Below are 15,842 nucleotides of genomic sequence, written 5' to 3'. Positions count from 1 at the left end.
TTGCTTATCAGCTTAAGGAGATTTTGGGCTGAGACAATGGGGTTTTCTAGATATACAATCATGTCGTCTGCAAACAGGGACAATTTGACTTCCTCTTTTCCTAATTGAATACCCTTTATTTCCTTCTCCTGCCTAATTGCCCTGGCCAGAACTTCAAACACTATGTTGAATAGGAGTGGTGAGAGAAGGCATCCCTGTCTTGTGCCAGTTTTCAAAGGGAATGCTTCCAGTTTTTGCCCATTCAGTATGATATTGGCTGTGGGTTTGTCATAGATAGCTCTTATTATTTTGAGATATGTCCCATCAATACGTAATTTATTGAGAGTTTTTAGCATGAAGGGTTGTTGAATTTTGTCAAAGGCCTTTTCTGCATCTATTGAGATAATCATGTGGTTTTTGTCTTTGGTTCTGTTTATATGCTGGATTACATTTATTGATTTGCGTATATTGAACCAGCCTTGCATCCCAGGGATGAAGCCCACTTGATCATGGTGGATAAGCTTTTTGATGTGCTGCTGGATTCGGTTTGCCAGTATTTTATTGAGGATTTTTGCATCAATATTCATCAAGGATATTGGTCTAAAATTCTCTTTTTTGGTTTGGTCTCTGCCCGGCTTTGGTATCAGGATGATGCTGGCCTTATAAAATGAGTTAGGGAGGATTCCCTCTTTTTCTATTGATTGGGATAGTTTCAGAAGGAATGGTACCAGTTCCTCCTTGTACCTCTGGTAGAATTCGACTGTGAATCCATCTGGTCCTGGACTCTTTTTGGTTGGTAAGCTATTGATTATTGCCACAATTTCAGATCCTGTTATTGGTCTATTCAGAGATTCAACTTCTTCCTGGTTTAGTCTTGGGAGAGTGTATGTGTCGATGAATTTATCCATTTGTTCCAGATTTCCTAGTTTATTTGTGTAGAGGTGTTTGTAGTGTTCTCTGATGGTAGTTTGTATTTCTGTGGGATCGGTGGTGATATCCCCTTTATCATTTTTTATTCTGTCTATATGAATCTTCTTTTTTTCTTTATTAGTCTTGCTAGTGGTCTATCAATTTTGTTGATCCTTTCAAAAAACCAGCTCCTGGACTCATTAATTTTTTGAAAGGTTTTTTGTGTCTCTATTTCCTTCAGTTCTGCTCTGATTTTAGTTATTTCTTGCCTTCTGCTAGCTTTTGAATGTGTTTGCTCTTGCTTTTCTAGTTCTTTTAATTGTGATGTTAGGGTGTCAATTTTGGATCTTTTCTGCTTTCTTTTGTGGGCATTTAGTGCTATAAATTTCCCTCTACACACTGCTTTGAATGTGTCCCAGAGATTATGGTATGTTGTGTCTTTGTTCTCATTGGTTTCAAAGAACATCTTAATTTCTGCCTTCATTTTGTTATGTACCCAGTAGTCATTCAGGAGCAGGTTGTTCAGTTTCCATGTAGTTGAGTGGTTTTGAGTGAAATTCTTAATCCTGAGTTCTAGTTTGATTGCACTGTGGTCTGAGAGATAGTTTGTTATAATTTCTGTTCTTTTACATTTGCTGAGGAGAGCTTTACTTCCAAGTATGTGGTCAATTTTGGAATAGGTGTGGTGTGGTGCTGAAAAAAATGTATATTCTATTGATTTGGGGTGGAGAGTTCTGTAGATGTCTATTAGGTCAGCTGGGTGCAGAGCTGAGTTCAATTCCTGGGTATCCTTGTTAACTTTCTGTTTGTTGATCTGTCTAATGTTGACAGTGGGGTGTTAAAGTCTCCCATTATTAATGTGTGGGAGTCTAAGTCTCTTTGTAGGTCACTCAGGACTTGCTTTATGAATCTGGGTGCTCCTCTATTGGGTGCATATATATTTAGGATAGTTAGCTCTTCTTGTTGAATTGATCCCTTTACCATTATGTAATGGCCTTCTTTGTCTCTTTTGATCTTTGTTGGTTTAAAGTCTGTTTTATCAGAGACTAGGATTGCAACCCCTGCCTTTTGTTGTTTTCCATTTGCTTGGTAGATCTTCCTCCATCCTTTTATTTTGAGCCTATGTGTGTCTCTACACGTGAGATGGGTTTCCTGAATACAGCACACTGATGGGTCTTGACTCTTTATCCAATTTGCCAGTCTGTGTCTTTTAATTGGAGCATTTAGTCCATTTACATTTAAAGTTAATATTGTTATGTGTGAATTTGATCCTGTCATTATGATGTTAGCTGGTTATTTTGCTCGTTAGTTGATGCAGTTTCTTCCTAGTCTCGATGGTCTTTACATTTTGGCATGATTTTGCAGTGGCTGGTACCGGTTGTTCCTTTCCATGTTTAGTGCTTCCTTCAGGAGCTCTTTTAGGGCAGGCCTGGTGGTGACAAAATCTCTCAGCATTTGCTTGTCTGTAAAGTATTTTATTTCTCCTTCACTTATGAAGCTTAGTTTGGCTGGATATGAAATTCTGGGTTGAAAGTTATTTTCTTTAAGAATGTTGAATATTGGCCCCCACTCTCTTCTGGCTTGTAGGGTTTCTGCCGAGAGATCCGCTGTTAGTCTGATGGGCTTCCCTTTGAGGGTAACCCGACCTTTCTCTCTGGCTGCCCTTAACATTTTTTCCTTCATTTCAACTTTGGTGAATCTGACAATTATGTGTCTTGGAGTTGCTCTTCTCGAGGAGTATCTTTGTGGCGTTCTCTGTATTTCCTGAATCTGAACGTTGGCCTGCCTTGCTAGATTGGGGAAATTCTCCTGGATAATATCCTGCAGAGTGTTTTCCAACTTGGTTCCATTCTCCCCATCACTTTCAGGTACACCAATCAGACGTAGATTTGGTCTTTTCACATAGTCCCATATTTCTTGGAGGCTTTGCTCATTTCTTTTTATTCTTTTTTCTCTAAACTTTCCGTCTTGCTTCATTTCATTCATTTCAGCTTCCATTGCTGATACCCTTTCTTCCAGTTGATCGCATCAGCTCCTGAGGCTTCTGCATTCTTCACGTAGTTCTCAAGCCTTAGTTTTCAGCTCCATCAGCTCCTTTAAGCACTTCTCTGTATTGGTTATTCTAGTTATACATTCTTCTAAATTTTTTTCAAAGTTTTCAACTTCTTTGCCTTTGGTTTGAATGTCCTCCCATAGCTCAGAGTAATTTGATCGTCTGAAGCCTTCTTCTCTCAGCTCGTCAAAGTCATTCTCCATCCAGCTTTGTTCCGTTGCTGGTGAGGAGCTGCATTTCTTTGGAGGAGGAGAGGTGCTCTGATTTTTAGAGTTTCCAGTTTTTCTGTTCTGTTTTTTCCCCATCTTTGTGGTTTTATCTACTTTTGGTCTTTGATGATGGTGATGTACAGATGGGTTTTTGGTGTGGATGTCCTTTGCGTTTGTTAGTTTTCCTTCTAACAGACAGGACCGTCAGCTGCAGGTCTGTTGGAGTACCCTGCAGTGTGATGTGTCAGTGTGCCCCTGCTGGTGGGTGCCTCCCAGTTAGGCTGTTCGGGGGTCAGGGGTCAGGGACCCACTTGAGGAGGCAGTCTGCGTGTTCTCAGATCTCCAGCTGCATACTGGGAGAACCACTGCTCTCTTCAAAGCTGTGAGACAGGGACATTTAAGTCTGCAGAGGTTACTGCTGTCTTTTTGTTTGTCTGTGCCCTGCCCCCAGAGGTGGAGCCTACAGAGGCAGGCAGGCCTCCTTGAGCTGTGCTGGGCTCCACCCAGTTCGAGCTTCCCGGCTGCTTTGTTTACCTAAGCAAGCCTGGGCAATGGCGGGCACCCCTCCCCCAGCCTCGTTGCCACCTTGCAGTTTGATCTCAGACTGCTGTGCTAGCAATCAGTGAGACTCCGTGGGCGTAGGAGCCTCGGAGCCAGGTGCAGGACACAATCTCCTGGTGCGCCATTTTTTAAGCCCGTCGGAAAAGCGCAGTATTCGGGTGGGAGTGACCCGATCTTCCAGGTGCTGTCTGTCACCCCTTTCTTTGACTAGGAAAGGGAACTCCCTGACCCCCTGCACTTCCTGAGTGAGGCAATGCCTCGCCCTGCTTCGGCTCGTGCACGGTGCGTACACCCACTGATCTGTGCCCACTGTCTGGCACTCCCTAGTGAGATGAACCCGGTACCTCAGATGGAAATGCAGAAATCACCCGTCTTCTGCGTCGCTCACGCTGGGAGCTGTAGACAGGAGCTGTTCCTATTCGGCCATCTTGGCTCCTCTCGCCAGAAATGCTACTTATTTTTATGTACTGAGTTGTATCCTGCAACTTCACTAAATTTGTCTATCAGTTCTAATAAATTTTTGGTGGAGTCTTAAATTTTTTTCAAACAAGGTTATATCATCTGCAAACAATGATAATTTGACTTCTCTCAATTTGAATGCCCTTCATTTCTTTCTCTTGTCTGCTTACTCTATCTAGAACTTCCAGTATTCTCTTGAGTAACAGTAGCAAAAGCGATCATCCTGGTCTTGTTCCATATCTTAAAGGAAACACTTTCAATATTTCCCATTCATTATGATACTAAACATGGGCTTGTCATATATGGCTTTTATTGTTTGAAGACATATTTTTTCCATGCCCTGTTGTTTGAGAATTTTTTATCATTAAAGGAGGTTGAATTTTATTAAACACTATTTCAGGATCAGTGAAAAGGATTATGTGGATTTTGCCCTTCGTTTTGTTGATATTATGTATCACATTGATTAGTTTGCATAGTTGAAACATCTTTGCATCTGTGAAATAAATCCTACTTTGTCATAATAAATAATTATTTGAATTGGTTGTTGAATTTGGTTTGCAAGTATTTTGTTTACGATTTTTACATCAATGTTCATCAGAATCATTGGCCTGTAACTTTCTTTTTTGATATGTTTTTGTCTGGTTTCAGTATCAGAATAACACTGGCCTTACAGAATGAGTTTGGAAGTATTCTGTTCTTTTTGATGTTTTGGAATCGTTTGAATTAAGATTGTACTATTTTTTTAAATGTTTGATAAGATGGATGAGGGAAGCCATCAGGTCCCAGGCTTTTCTTTGCTGAGAAAAATTTATTATGGCTTTGATTATATTACTTGTTATTCGTCTATTCAGATTTTAGATTTCCTTATTGTTCAATGTTGGTAGGTTGTATGTATCTAGAAAATGTATCCATTTATTCTAAGCTTTCCAATTTGTTGGCCTGCAGTTACTCACAGTAGCCTCTAATAGTATTTGTAATTTCTGCAACATGAGTTGTCATGTCTCATTTTTTATCTTGGATTTTACTAATTTGGGTCTTCCCTTTTGTTTTTCTTAGTCTAGCTAAATAATTGTCAAATTTCTTTTTATCTTTTAAAAGAACAGTTAGTTATTTTGATGATCTTTTGGGTTTTTTGTTTCAATTTCATTTATTTCTGCTCTAATTTTTTTATTATTTTTCTATTCTACTAATTTTGTGCTTGGTTTGCCCTTGCTTTTCTAGTTGTTTCAGATTCTTTATTAGTTCATTTATTTGAAGACTTTTTTTATTTGGCCAATTACAACTGCACTTCTCTCTTAGTACTTCCTTCACCATATCTTACATGTCTTGATATGTTTTGTTTTCATTTTTATGTGTTGCAAGAATTTTTAAAATTGCCTTCTTAATTACTTCATTTACCCACTGGTCATTCAGAAGCATATTGTTTATCATGTAGTTTGTAGGTTCCAAAATCCCTCTCATTAGTGATTTCTAGTTTTCTTCCATTGTGGTTGAATAAGACACTTGATTTAATTTTGATATATTTGGATTTTTTAAGACTTATTTTATGGTCTAACACATTGTCTAGACTTGAGAATAATTTATATGTTGAGGAAAAGAATGTATTATTCCGCTATTGAATAATATGTTTTGTAAATATCTACTACGTTCATTTGGTCTGTAGTGCAAATTATGACCAATGTTTCTTTGTTGATTTTCTATCTGGATAATCTGTGAAATGCTGAAAGTAGGGTGTTAAAATCTCCATCTGTTATTGTATTAGGATCTGTCTCTCTGTTTAGTTCTCATAATGTTTACATTATATATCTGGGTGTGCCAATGTTTGGTGCATATATATTTAAAATTGTTATATCTTCTTGCTAAATTAACCCCTTTATTATTATATAGTAAACTTTGTCTCTAGTTATAGTTTTTGTCTTGAAATCTAGTTTGTCTGATATTAATATCGCTACTCCTGCTCTGTTTTTTATTTCCATTGACATGGAATATCCTACTCAATGCATTTGTTTTCACTGTCTGTGTATCTTTATATATAAAATGTGTTTCTTGTGGGTAAAAGATGATTAGGTTTTGTTTTTTATTTCTTCTTCTTTTATTTATTATTATTTTTTATTTCAAAAGGTTTTTGGGGAACAGGTGTTGTTTGGTTACAAGGATAAGATCTTCAGTGGTGATTTCTCAGATTTTGGTTCACCCATCACCCGAGCAGTGTACACTCTACCCAATGGGTAGTCTTTTATCATTCAACCCCTCCCACCCTTTCCCCAGAGTCACCAAAGTCCATTGTATCATTCTTATGGATTTGCATCCTCATAGCTTAGATCCCACTTATGTATGAGAGCATAAAATATTTGGTTTTCTGTCCTAAGTTACTTTACTTAGAATAATAATCTCAAATTCCATCCAGGTGGCTGCAAATGCCATTATTTTGTTCCCTTTTTATGGCTGAGTAGTATTCCATGGTGTATATATATCTATATACACACACACATATATCTCACATTTTCAGTATGCACTTGTTAATTAATGGGCATTAGGGCTGAATCCATATTTTTGCAATTGCGAATTGTGCTGCTATAAATATGTGTATACAAGTATCTTTTTTGTATAATGAGTTCTTTTCCTCTAAGTAGACACCCAGTAGTGGGATTGCTGAATCAAATGGTGGATCTACTTTAAATTCTTTAAGGAATCTTCATACTATATATATAGTGTTCGTACTAGTTTACATTCCCATCAGCAGTGTAAAAGTGTTCCCTTTTCACTACATCCACGCCAACGTTAATTATTATTATTTTTTATTATTGCCATTCTTGCAGGAATAACGTGGTATTGCATTGCAGTTTTGATTTGCATTTCCCTGATAATTAGTAACGTTGAGCATTTTTTTCATACTGTTTTTGGCCATTTGTATATCTTCTTTTGAAACTTTTCCACTCATGTCCATAGCCCACTTTTTTGATGGGATTGTTTGCATTTTTCTTGCTGATTTGAGTTTCTTGTAGATTCTAGATAATGGTCCTTTGTCAGATGCATAGTTTGTGAGGATTTTCTCCCACTCTATGGGTTGTCTGTTTACTCTGCTGATTGTTTGGCTGTGCAGAAGCTTTTTAGTTTAATTAAGTCCCATCTGTATATCTTTGTTTTTGTTGCATTTGCTTCTGGGTCCTTGATCATAAAGTTTTGCCTAAGGCAGTGTCTAGAAGAGTATTTCTGATATTGTCTTCTAGAATTGTTATGGTTTCACGTCTTAAATTTAAATCTTTGGTCCATCTTGAGTTGATTTTTGTATAAAGTGATAGATGAGAATCTAGTTTAATTCTTCTGTGTGTGGCTTGCCAAATATCCCAGCACCATTTGTTGAATAGGGTGTCCTTTTCCTGTTTTGTCGAAGATCAGTTGTCTGTAAGTATTTGGCTTTATTTGTGGGTTATCTCTTCTGTTTTATTGATCTGTATGCTTATTTTTACACCAGTACCATATTGTTCTGGTGGCTATAGCCTTATAGTATAGTTTGAAGTCTGGTGATGTGATGCCTCCAGATTTTTTTTCTAAGTTTTGCTTTGCCTATGCAGGCTCTTTTCTTTATTCCATATAAATTTTAGGATTGCATTTTCTAGTTCTGTGAAAAATGATAGCGGTATTTTGATGAAAATTGCATTTAATCTGTAGATTGCTTTTGGCACTATAGTCATTTTCACAATATTGTTTCTACCTATCCATGATCATTGGTATTCCCATTTGTTTGTGTAGTCTACAAATTCTTTCAGCAGTGTTTTGTGGTTATCCTTGTAGAGGACTTTCACCTCCTTGGTTAGGTCTATTCCTAAGGTTTTACTTGTTTTGTTTTGTTTTGTTTTTTGCAGATATTGTAAAAGGATTGAGTTATTGATTTGATTCTCAGCTTGGTTGCTGTAGGTGCATAGCAGTGCTACTGATTTGTGTACATTGATTTTGTATCCTGAGACTTTACTGAATTAATTTATCAGAGCTAGACGTTCTTTGAATGAGTCTTTAAGGTTTTCTAGGTATACAATCATATCATCAGTGAACAGCTACAGTTTGACTTCCTCTTTACTGATTTGATGCCCTTTATTTCTTTCCCTTGCTGATTGCACTGGCTTGGACTTCCAGATCTGTGTTTAATAGAAGTGGTGAAAGTGAGCATTCTTGTCTTGTTCCATTTCTTAGGGAGAATGCTTTCAACTTACATCAGTTCAGTGTCATGTTGGCTGTGGGTTTGTCATAGATGTCTTTTATTACCTTAAGGTATGTCGCTTCTATGCTGATTTTGCTGAGGGTTTTAATTATAAAGGCATGCTGGGATTTGTCAAATGCTTTTTCTGCAAATTTTGAGATGATAATGTAGTTTTTGTTTTTAATTCTGTTTATGTAGTGTATCACATTTACTGACTTGTGAATGTTAAACCATCCCTGCATCCCCGACATGAAACACATTTATCATGGTGGATTATTTTTTTGATATACTGTTGGATATCTATTATTTTGTTGAGAATTTTTGCATCTATGTTCACCAAAGACAATGGCCTGTAGTTTGTTTCTTGTTGTTGTTGTTATGTTCTTCCCTGGTTTTGGTATTAGGGTGACACTGGCTTCATAGAATGACTTAGGGAGGATTCCCTCTCTATATATCTTTTGAAATAGTGTCAATGTAATTGTAACCAATTCTCTTTTGAATGTCTGATAAAATTGAGCTGTGAATCCATCTGGTCCTGGACTTTTTCTGTTGGCAAATTTTTTAATAACCAGTTCAGTCTCACTGCTTGTTATTGGTCTGTTCGGAGTTTCTATTTCTTCCTGGTTTAATCTAAGAGGGTTGTATATTTCTAAATTTTTTTCCATCTCCTCTAGGTTTTCTAATTTGTGCACATCAAGGTGTTCATAGTAGCCTGGAATAATCTTTTGTGTTTCTGTGGTCAAGTATTAATATTTCCTATTTCATTTCAAATTGAGCTTATTTGGATCCTTTCTCTTCTTTTGTTGGTTCATCTCACTAATGGTCTATCAATTTTATCATATCTTTTCGAAGAACCAGATTTTTGTTTTATTTATATATATTTTTTTTAACTTTATTTAGCTCTGTTCTGATTTTTGCTGTTTCTTTTTTTCATTTGGGTTTAGGTTTGGTTTGTTAGTTTGGTTTGGTTTTGTTTCCTTAGTTCCTTGAGGTATGACCTTAGATTGTCTATTTGTGCTCCTTCAGACTTTTTGATGTAAGCATTTAATCTGATAAACTTTCCTCTTAACACTACTTGGGCTGTATCCCAGAGGTTTTGATAGGTTATGTCACTATTTTCATTCAGTTCAAAAAATTTATTAATTTTTATCGAGATTTTATTGTTGACAACAACTATTTGGGAGCAGGTTATTTAATTTTCATGTATTTGCATGATTTTGAGGGTTCCTTTTGGAGTAGATTTTCAACTTTTGTTCCATTGTGATCTGAGAGAGTACTTGATATAATTTCTGTTTTCTTAAATTTACTTAGACTTGTTTTATGGCCTATCATATGGTCTATCTTGGAGAATGTTCCATGTGCTGATTAGTAGAATGTATATTCTGCAGTTGTTGGGCACAATGTCCTGTCAGTATTTCTTAAGTAAATTTGTTATAAGGTACAGCTTAAGTCCATTGTTTCTTCATTTACTTTTTTTCTTTATTACCTGTCTAGTTCTGTCACTGGAGTGTTGAAGTCCCACACTATTAGTGTGTTTCTATTTATCTCATTTTGCAGGTTTAGTAGTAATTGTTTATAAATTTTGGAGCTCCAGTGTTAGGTGAATATATATTTAGAATGATAATATTTTCCTGTTGGACTAGTTTTTTTCTATCATCATATTATCTCCCTCTTTATTTTTTTCAATGGTTGTTTATTTAAATACTGTTTTGTCCGATTTAAGATTAGCTACTCTTGCCCACTTTTGGTGTTAATTTGTATGGAATATTTTTTCCACCATTTGAACTTAAGTTTATATGAGTCCTTATGTGTTAAGTGAATCTCTTGAAGAGCAGTTGCTTGGTTGGTGATTTCTTACTCATTCTGCCATTCTGTATCTTTTAAGTGGACCACTTAGGCCATTTACAATTCAATGTTAGTACTGGAGATGTGAGGTACTATTCTATTCATTGTGCTATTTGTTGCCTGAATAACTTGTGTTTTTTTTTCTCTTTTTTTTCTGCATTATGTTACTGTTTTACAGGTCCTGTGAGATTTTGATGTATTTTGAGGATTTGTTTCAAGATTTAGATCTCTTTTTAGCAATTCTTGTAGTGCTGGCTTGGTAGTGGCAAATTCTCTCAGCATTTATTTGTCTGAAAGAGACTGTATCTTTCTTTTATGTATGAAGCTTAGTTTCACTAGATACAAAATTCTTGGCTGATTATTGTTTTGCTTAAGATGGCTAAAGATAGAATTTAATTTTTTCTAGCCTGTAGGGTCTCTGCTAAAAAATCTTCTGTTAATCTGATAGGTTTTCAATTATGGGTCACTTGATGCCTTTGTCTCACAGCTCTTGAGATTCTTTCCATTGTTTTGACTTTAGATAACCTCATGATTATGTGCCTAGGCAATGATCTTTTTGCAATAAATTTCCCAGTTATTCTTTGAGCTTCTTGTATTTGGATATCTAGATCTCTAGAAAGACCAGGGAAGTTTACCTCAATTATTTCCTCAAATATGGTTTCCAAACTTTCAGATTTCTCTTCTTCCTCGGGAACACCAATTATTCTTGAGACTTTCCAGTGTATTTTGCATTTCTCTAAGTGTGTTCATCATTTCTAGTTGTGACTTTTTTTTTAATTTATGCTATGTATTTCTCTGGAGATTTTTCCATCCATATTCTGTAATTTTTTTATTTTATTTTTTAAGTTGGTATTCACCTTTCTCTGGTGCCTCCTTGAGCAGCCTAATAATAATTGACCTTCTGAATTCTCTATCTGGCAATTCAGAGCTTTCTTCTTGGTTTGGATTCATTGCTTGTGAGCTATTGTGATCCTTTGAGGGTGTTAAAGAACCTCATTTTGTCACATTACCAGATTTGTTTTCCTGGTTTCTTTTCATTTTGGTAGACATGTCAGAGGAAAGATCTGGGGCTCAAGAGCTGCTGTTCAGATTATTTTGTCCCATGGGGTGCTCCCTTGATGTGGTGATCTCCCCTTCCTCTAGGGAGGGGGCTTCCTGAGAGCCAAAGTGCAGTGATTGCTATTTCTCTTCTAGATCTCACCCACCCCACAGCAGAGGCACCATGCTCTGGGCTGGTACTGGGAAGTGTCTGCAAAGAGTCCTGTGAGGTGATTTATCTCCAGGTCTCTCAGCCATGGATACCAGCACTGGCTCTGATGGAGGTGGCAGGGAAGTGAAGTGAACTCTGTAACAGAGTCTTTGATTGTATTTTCTTTTAGTGTGCTGGTTTTGTGTTGGTTGGCTTCCAGCCAGAATATGGTTGCATTCAAAAGAGCATCAGCTGTGGTAGTATAGAGAAGATACAAGCTTGCCCTAGGGTCTCCTGGATAAGTGTTCAGGTTTCACAGGCATTGGGCAGGGCCATAGAGCTCCCAAGAGATTATGTCTTTTGTCTTTGGCTACCAGGGTGAGTAGAGAAAGACCATCAGGTAGGGCAGGGTTAGGCATGTCTGAGCTGAGCCTCTCCTCAAGTGGGGTTTGCTGCAGCTGCTGTGGGGGATAGGGGTGTGGCTTTAGGCCAATGGAGTTATGTTCCCAGGGGAATTATGGCTGCCTCTGCTGCTTCATACAGGTTTCCAGGGAAGTGGGGGAAAGCTGGCAGTGACAGGCCTCACACAGCTTTTATGGAACTGTAAAGGCCAGTCTCACCCTCATCATGCCCCCACAACAGCACTGAGTTTACTTCCAGGCAGCCAGGGAGCAGGTATGAGAACTTGCCCCAGGCTACAACCCTCCCAGGTGAGAAAGCAAGCAGGTCTTTCAGGTTTCCCACCTCACTGTCTGCCACCACTTCTGTGCTGATATCTGAATTCCAAGGTCGCCCCCTCTACCAAATTGTGTTTAGAAAACTTCACTTTTGGTCACAATTGTAACAAAGTTCAGCTGGAAGTTTTATTTTCCCTGTGATCTTTCTCCAATTCCACTGGCAGTCCTCCACAAGGACCCCTGTGAGACAAAGTCAGAAATGGCTTTCCTGGGGACCGAGAGTGCCCACAGTGTTCTTCCTGTTGCTTCCTCTATCTCTATATTTCTCTCAGCTTGCTAAATTTGTCTCGGCTTCAGGTAAGGTCAAATCCTTCTTATGTAATCTAGACCTTCATGTTCCCCAGGGACAATGTGTTTTCAGGGGTGTGCATTTCTCCTTTCACACTTTGGGCACTCACAGTTTTTTGGCTGTCTCACAGAGACTGCAGCAGCAAACCTCTTCCTTCAAAGGGTCTCTGGATTTTCTCGTCTATCCTGGTATGTTTCCGCAGTAGTTCTTGAAGCAAAAGTTTATGATGTGGGTCTCCACACACTGTTCTGTCTATCCAAGTGGGACCTGCAGGCTAGTCCTGCCTCCCATCTGCCAATTTTTTTTTTTTCCAAACAGGTCTTTTTTGTTTTTATCCATGAAGCCACCCTATGCTTTTTTTATTGGAGAGTTTAGTCTATTTAAATTTAATGTAATTATTGATTATTAAGCACTTAATCCTGCCATTTTGTTATTTTCTGTTTTTTTTTGTGTGTGTGTGTATAAATTGTGGTTAGTTGCATACTTTTAAAGACATTAAATTAGTAATTTAAGAACCCTTCTAAAAATAACTTGAGGCCAAGATTGCTTTAATAGATGCATGTACTAAACATTGAAATAAAAAATAATGGCAATCTTATCATAGGATAATCTCACTCATGAATTTCAATGCAAAACTCATCATTAGAATCTTATGAAAATAAAGTGAACAATATAGAAAAAGGGTAATATATTAAAGTTAATTTTAGTTTATTCCCAAAATAGAAAAGTTGATTTAACAATTGAAAATCACTCTACATATTTTACCACATTGTCAAAACAAATAGAAAAACAATGTAATAAATTTAACATATGCAGAAAAGATTTGATAAATTGTTGCATCCTTTTTAAATAAAAACTGATTTGGACTAGAAAAAAAATCTTCAACTTAGTAAGACGTATCTACAATTATCCTACAGCAAACATCACACTTAATAGTGAAATGATGAATTATTTTCCACTGACATCTAGAATGACACAAAGATGCTCATTACTCTCACTTTTATCTAATATTGTGCTGGAGACCCAACCCATTATGATAAGGCAAGAATAAAGACATAAAAAGGATTATATTTTGAAAGAAACAAATGAAAGTATTATCTAACTATGGTATTCTTTTGTACATAGAATATCCAAAAGTATATTCAGATATGTTATTGGGATTAGGAGGTGAATACACCTGCTGATATATACATATATATATATATATATATATACACACATATATATGTATATATATACTTATTTATCAATATACTAACATAGATATACAGATAGATAGATTAGATAGATGAAAGATAGACAGATAGATAGATAGATAGATAGATAGATAGATAGATAGATAGAGCCTGGGAGGGAAAGTGCATATATCTAGTTATTGTGAGTATAGCACAAGGGAAACCTGAAACCAAAAGCAAAGTTCCATGAAAACAGATACAATGGTCTCTTTGGTTAATTGCACCTCTTCTGTGTATAGCACAGAGTAGTCACTCAATAAATGTTCCTTGAATGAATGAATGAATGTTGAACTAATAAGCAATGTAACAATAAGTTTTTATATGTTCCCTCATAAGCACTGCTTTGGTAGCAGAGCCTGAAATATGATTATAAATAGGGAGTAATGACTCCAGAGACAAAGATTATAGCTCAATAAGGACAAAGCCAGAATGGTCATTCTAGAAGAAAATTTTAGGTCAATTTATATCTCTTAAAATTGATATTTAAATGTAAGAAAAAATAATGCATTTTCCCATTCTGATTCTCTATTGAAGACATTAACCAATATTGTTTCTTTATCAAAATAATCAATTTACTGTTTTGGACTGTATGCTTTTAGGTTCATTAGAGTAGAATGAAATATAAAAGATCCATCTGAAACTTTCGGTTCAATGACTACATTGACCAATCTAGATTGGCAATTTGATATTGTTTACAGGCTCTTTGTTTTGATAGAAAATAGAGAATAATAAAAATGTTCACCTTTTATTTATTTATTTTTTTTTTTGAGACAGAATCTTGCTCTGTCGCCAGGCTGAAGTGCAGTGGCGCGATCTCAGCTCACCGCAACCTCCGCCTCCCGAGTTCAAGCGATTCCCTTGCCTCAGCCTCCCAAATAGCTGGGATTACAGGCACATGCCACCACGCCTGGCTAATTTTTTTAATTATTATTTTTAGTAGAGACGGGATTTCACTATGTTGGCCAAGATGGTCTCGATCTCCTGACCTCGTGATCCGCCCACCTCGGCCTCCCAAAGTGCTGGGATTACAGGTGTGAGCCACCGTGCCTGGCCAGTGTTCACATTTTTTATGAATAAAATATACTTTTTATATCCTGCATATAATGTATAGTTTGTGATCAAAGTTGAAGGTTAAAATATTAGATAATTGAAAATTGTTACATTTGACTGACAGTTTAAATCATAAAAATAAGTATGACCCCTGTGGTATGATCTCTGATACCAGAGTGAGATTTCATAAGAAACTAAAAGTCAATATTCCCTTATGGAACACAGTCTACAATTCGGAAGAAATAATAGTATAACAATGTTGTTTGTGAATAATTTTGTATATAAGAAAAGGTCTTTATCTTTAAATATTTCAGAAATTGAAACTTAAAAAGTATTATGAAAAATTCTACTTACCCCCTCCTTTATTATTTGACTTCAAGAGATGCTATCAATTTAATACGTCTTTTAATATATCATCCAAGAGAAATTTCATGTACCACATGTGCTTCTATTTCATGTGAGACCTTAAAATAAAATGCAGGTTTCTAGTTAAAGAGCCAAGAAAAACACGCACTACACTTAGTGCTAGAAATGATCCCCATTGCCTAATTTTATTACCAGAGCCTTGGGAAAATGTATTTATTTACTGTTTGCATCAAGAGACTATATTTTAAATCCCTAAATGTAAATGGCCATATGAAATTATGCCTTTACTACTACTATTAGAAACAAGGCTATTTTCTTTAGGCCACATTTGGAAACTTCTAATGGTAAGATTTGAACTAGAAAACAAAAAAGAGAAAGGCTAGCAAACAGACTTTGATTAGAAAATTTGGCAGGTTTTTCCATTTGGATGTGAGCCAAGAGGCCAGCAGCTGTATTCATCCTTGGCTGAGCAAGTCATAGTTCTGGAGCACACAAGCTGAGAATTGTAGTTTGTACAACACAGAGAGCAAGGCAGAATCACAGTTAATTAGAATTCCTGTAGGCTTTATCAGCAGGTCTGCAAAATATAGTAATTAAGCTATGACTGTGAAAACATGTCACTTTGATGTTTTGGGTATTATGCAAATTAGCTTAAAATTATCCATTTCGAAAACAATCACTTAAAATCTTTAGAATGATATACAGAATATATCTTTGACTACTATGATTTCTGTAATTACTGCAATCAAAGCCAAAACTAATT

At 36.5% G+C, this 15,842-nt stretch overlaps 1 long non-coding RNA gene across 1 annotated transcript in view, besides 1 other annotated feature; it reads right to left on the bottom strand.

The window, feature by feature from the left end:
• LOC107985710 (uncharacterized) overlaps nucleotides 1-15,345 on the bottom strand; it is a 71,824-nt gene extending 56,479 nt beyond the window's left edge. Inside the window, exon 1 of the long non-coding RNA XR_001755916.2 lies at nucleotides 15,068-15,345. This is a non-coding gene — a long non-coding RNA (uncharacterized LOC107985710). The remainder of the gene's footprint in view (nucleotides 1-15,067) is intronic.
• Nucleotides 3,293-3,873: an enhancer, noted in NCBI's record as "H3K27ac-H3K4me1 hESC enhancer chrX:94117653-94118233 (GRCh37/hg19 assembly coordinates)". NCBI's record gives its function as "activates a minimal SCP1, AML or CMV promoter by ChIP-STARR-seq in naive H9 embryonic stem cells {active_cell/tissue: H9 hESC(naive)}" and the evidence as "EXISTENCE:reporter gene assay evidence [ECO:0000049][PMID:30033119]".
• Nucleotides 15,346-15,842: the final 497 nt, after the last annotated feature.

This window comes from Homo sapiens, chromosome X (genome assembly GCF_000001405.40).
Source record: "Homo sapiens chromosome X, GRCh38.p14 Primary Assembly".
Lineage (NCBI taxonomy): Eukaryota > Metazoa > Chordata > Mammalia > Primates > Hominidae > Homo > Homo sapiens.
This window is presented reverse-complemented; position numbering and strand designations above follow the sequence as displayed.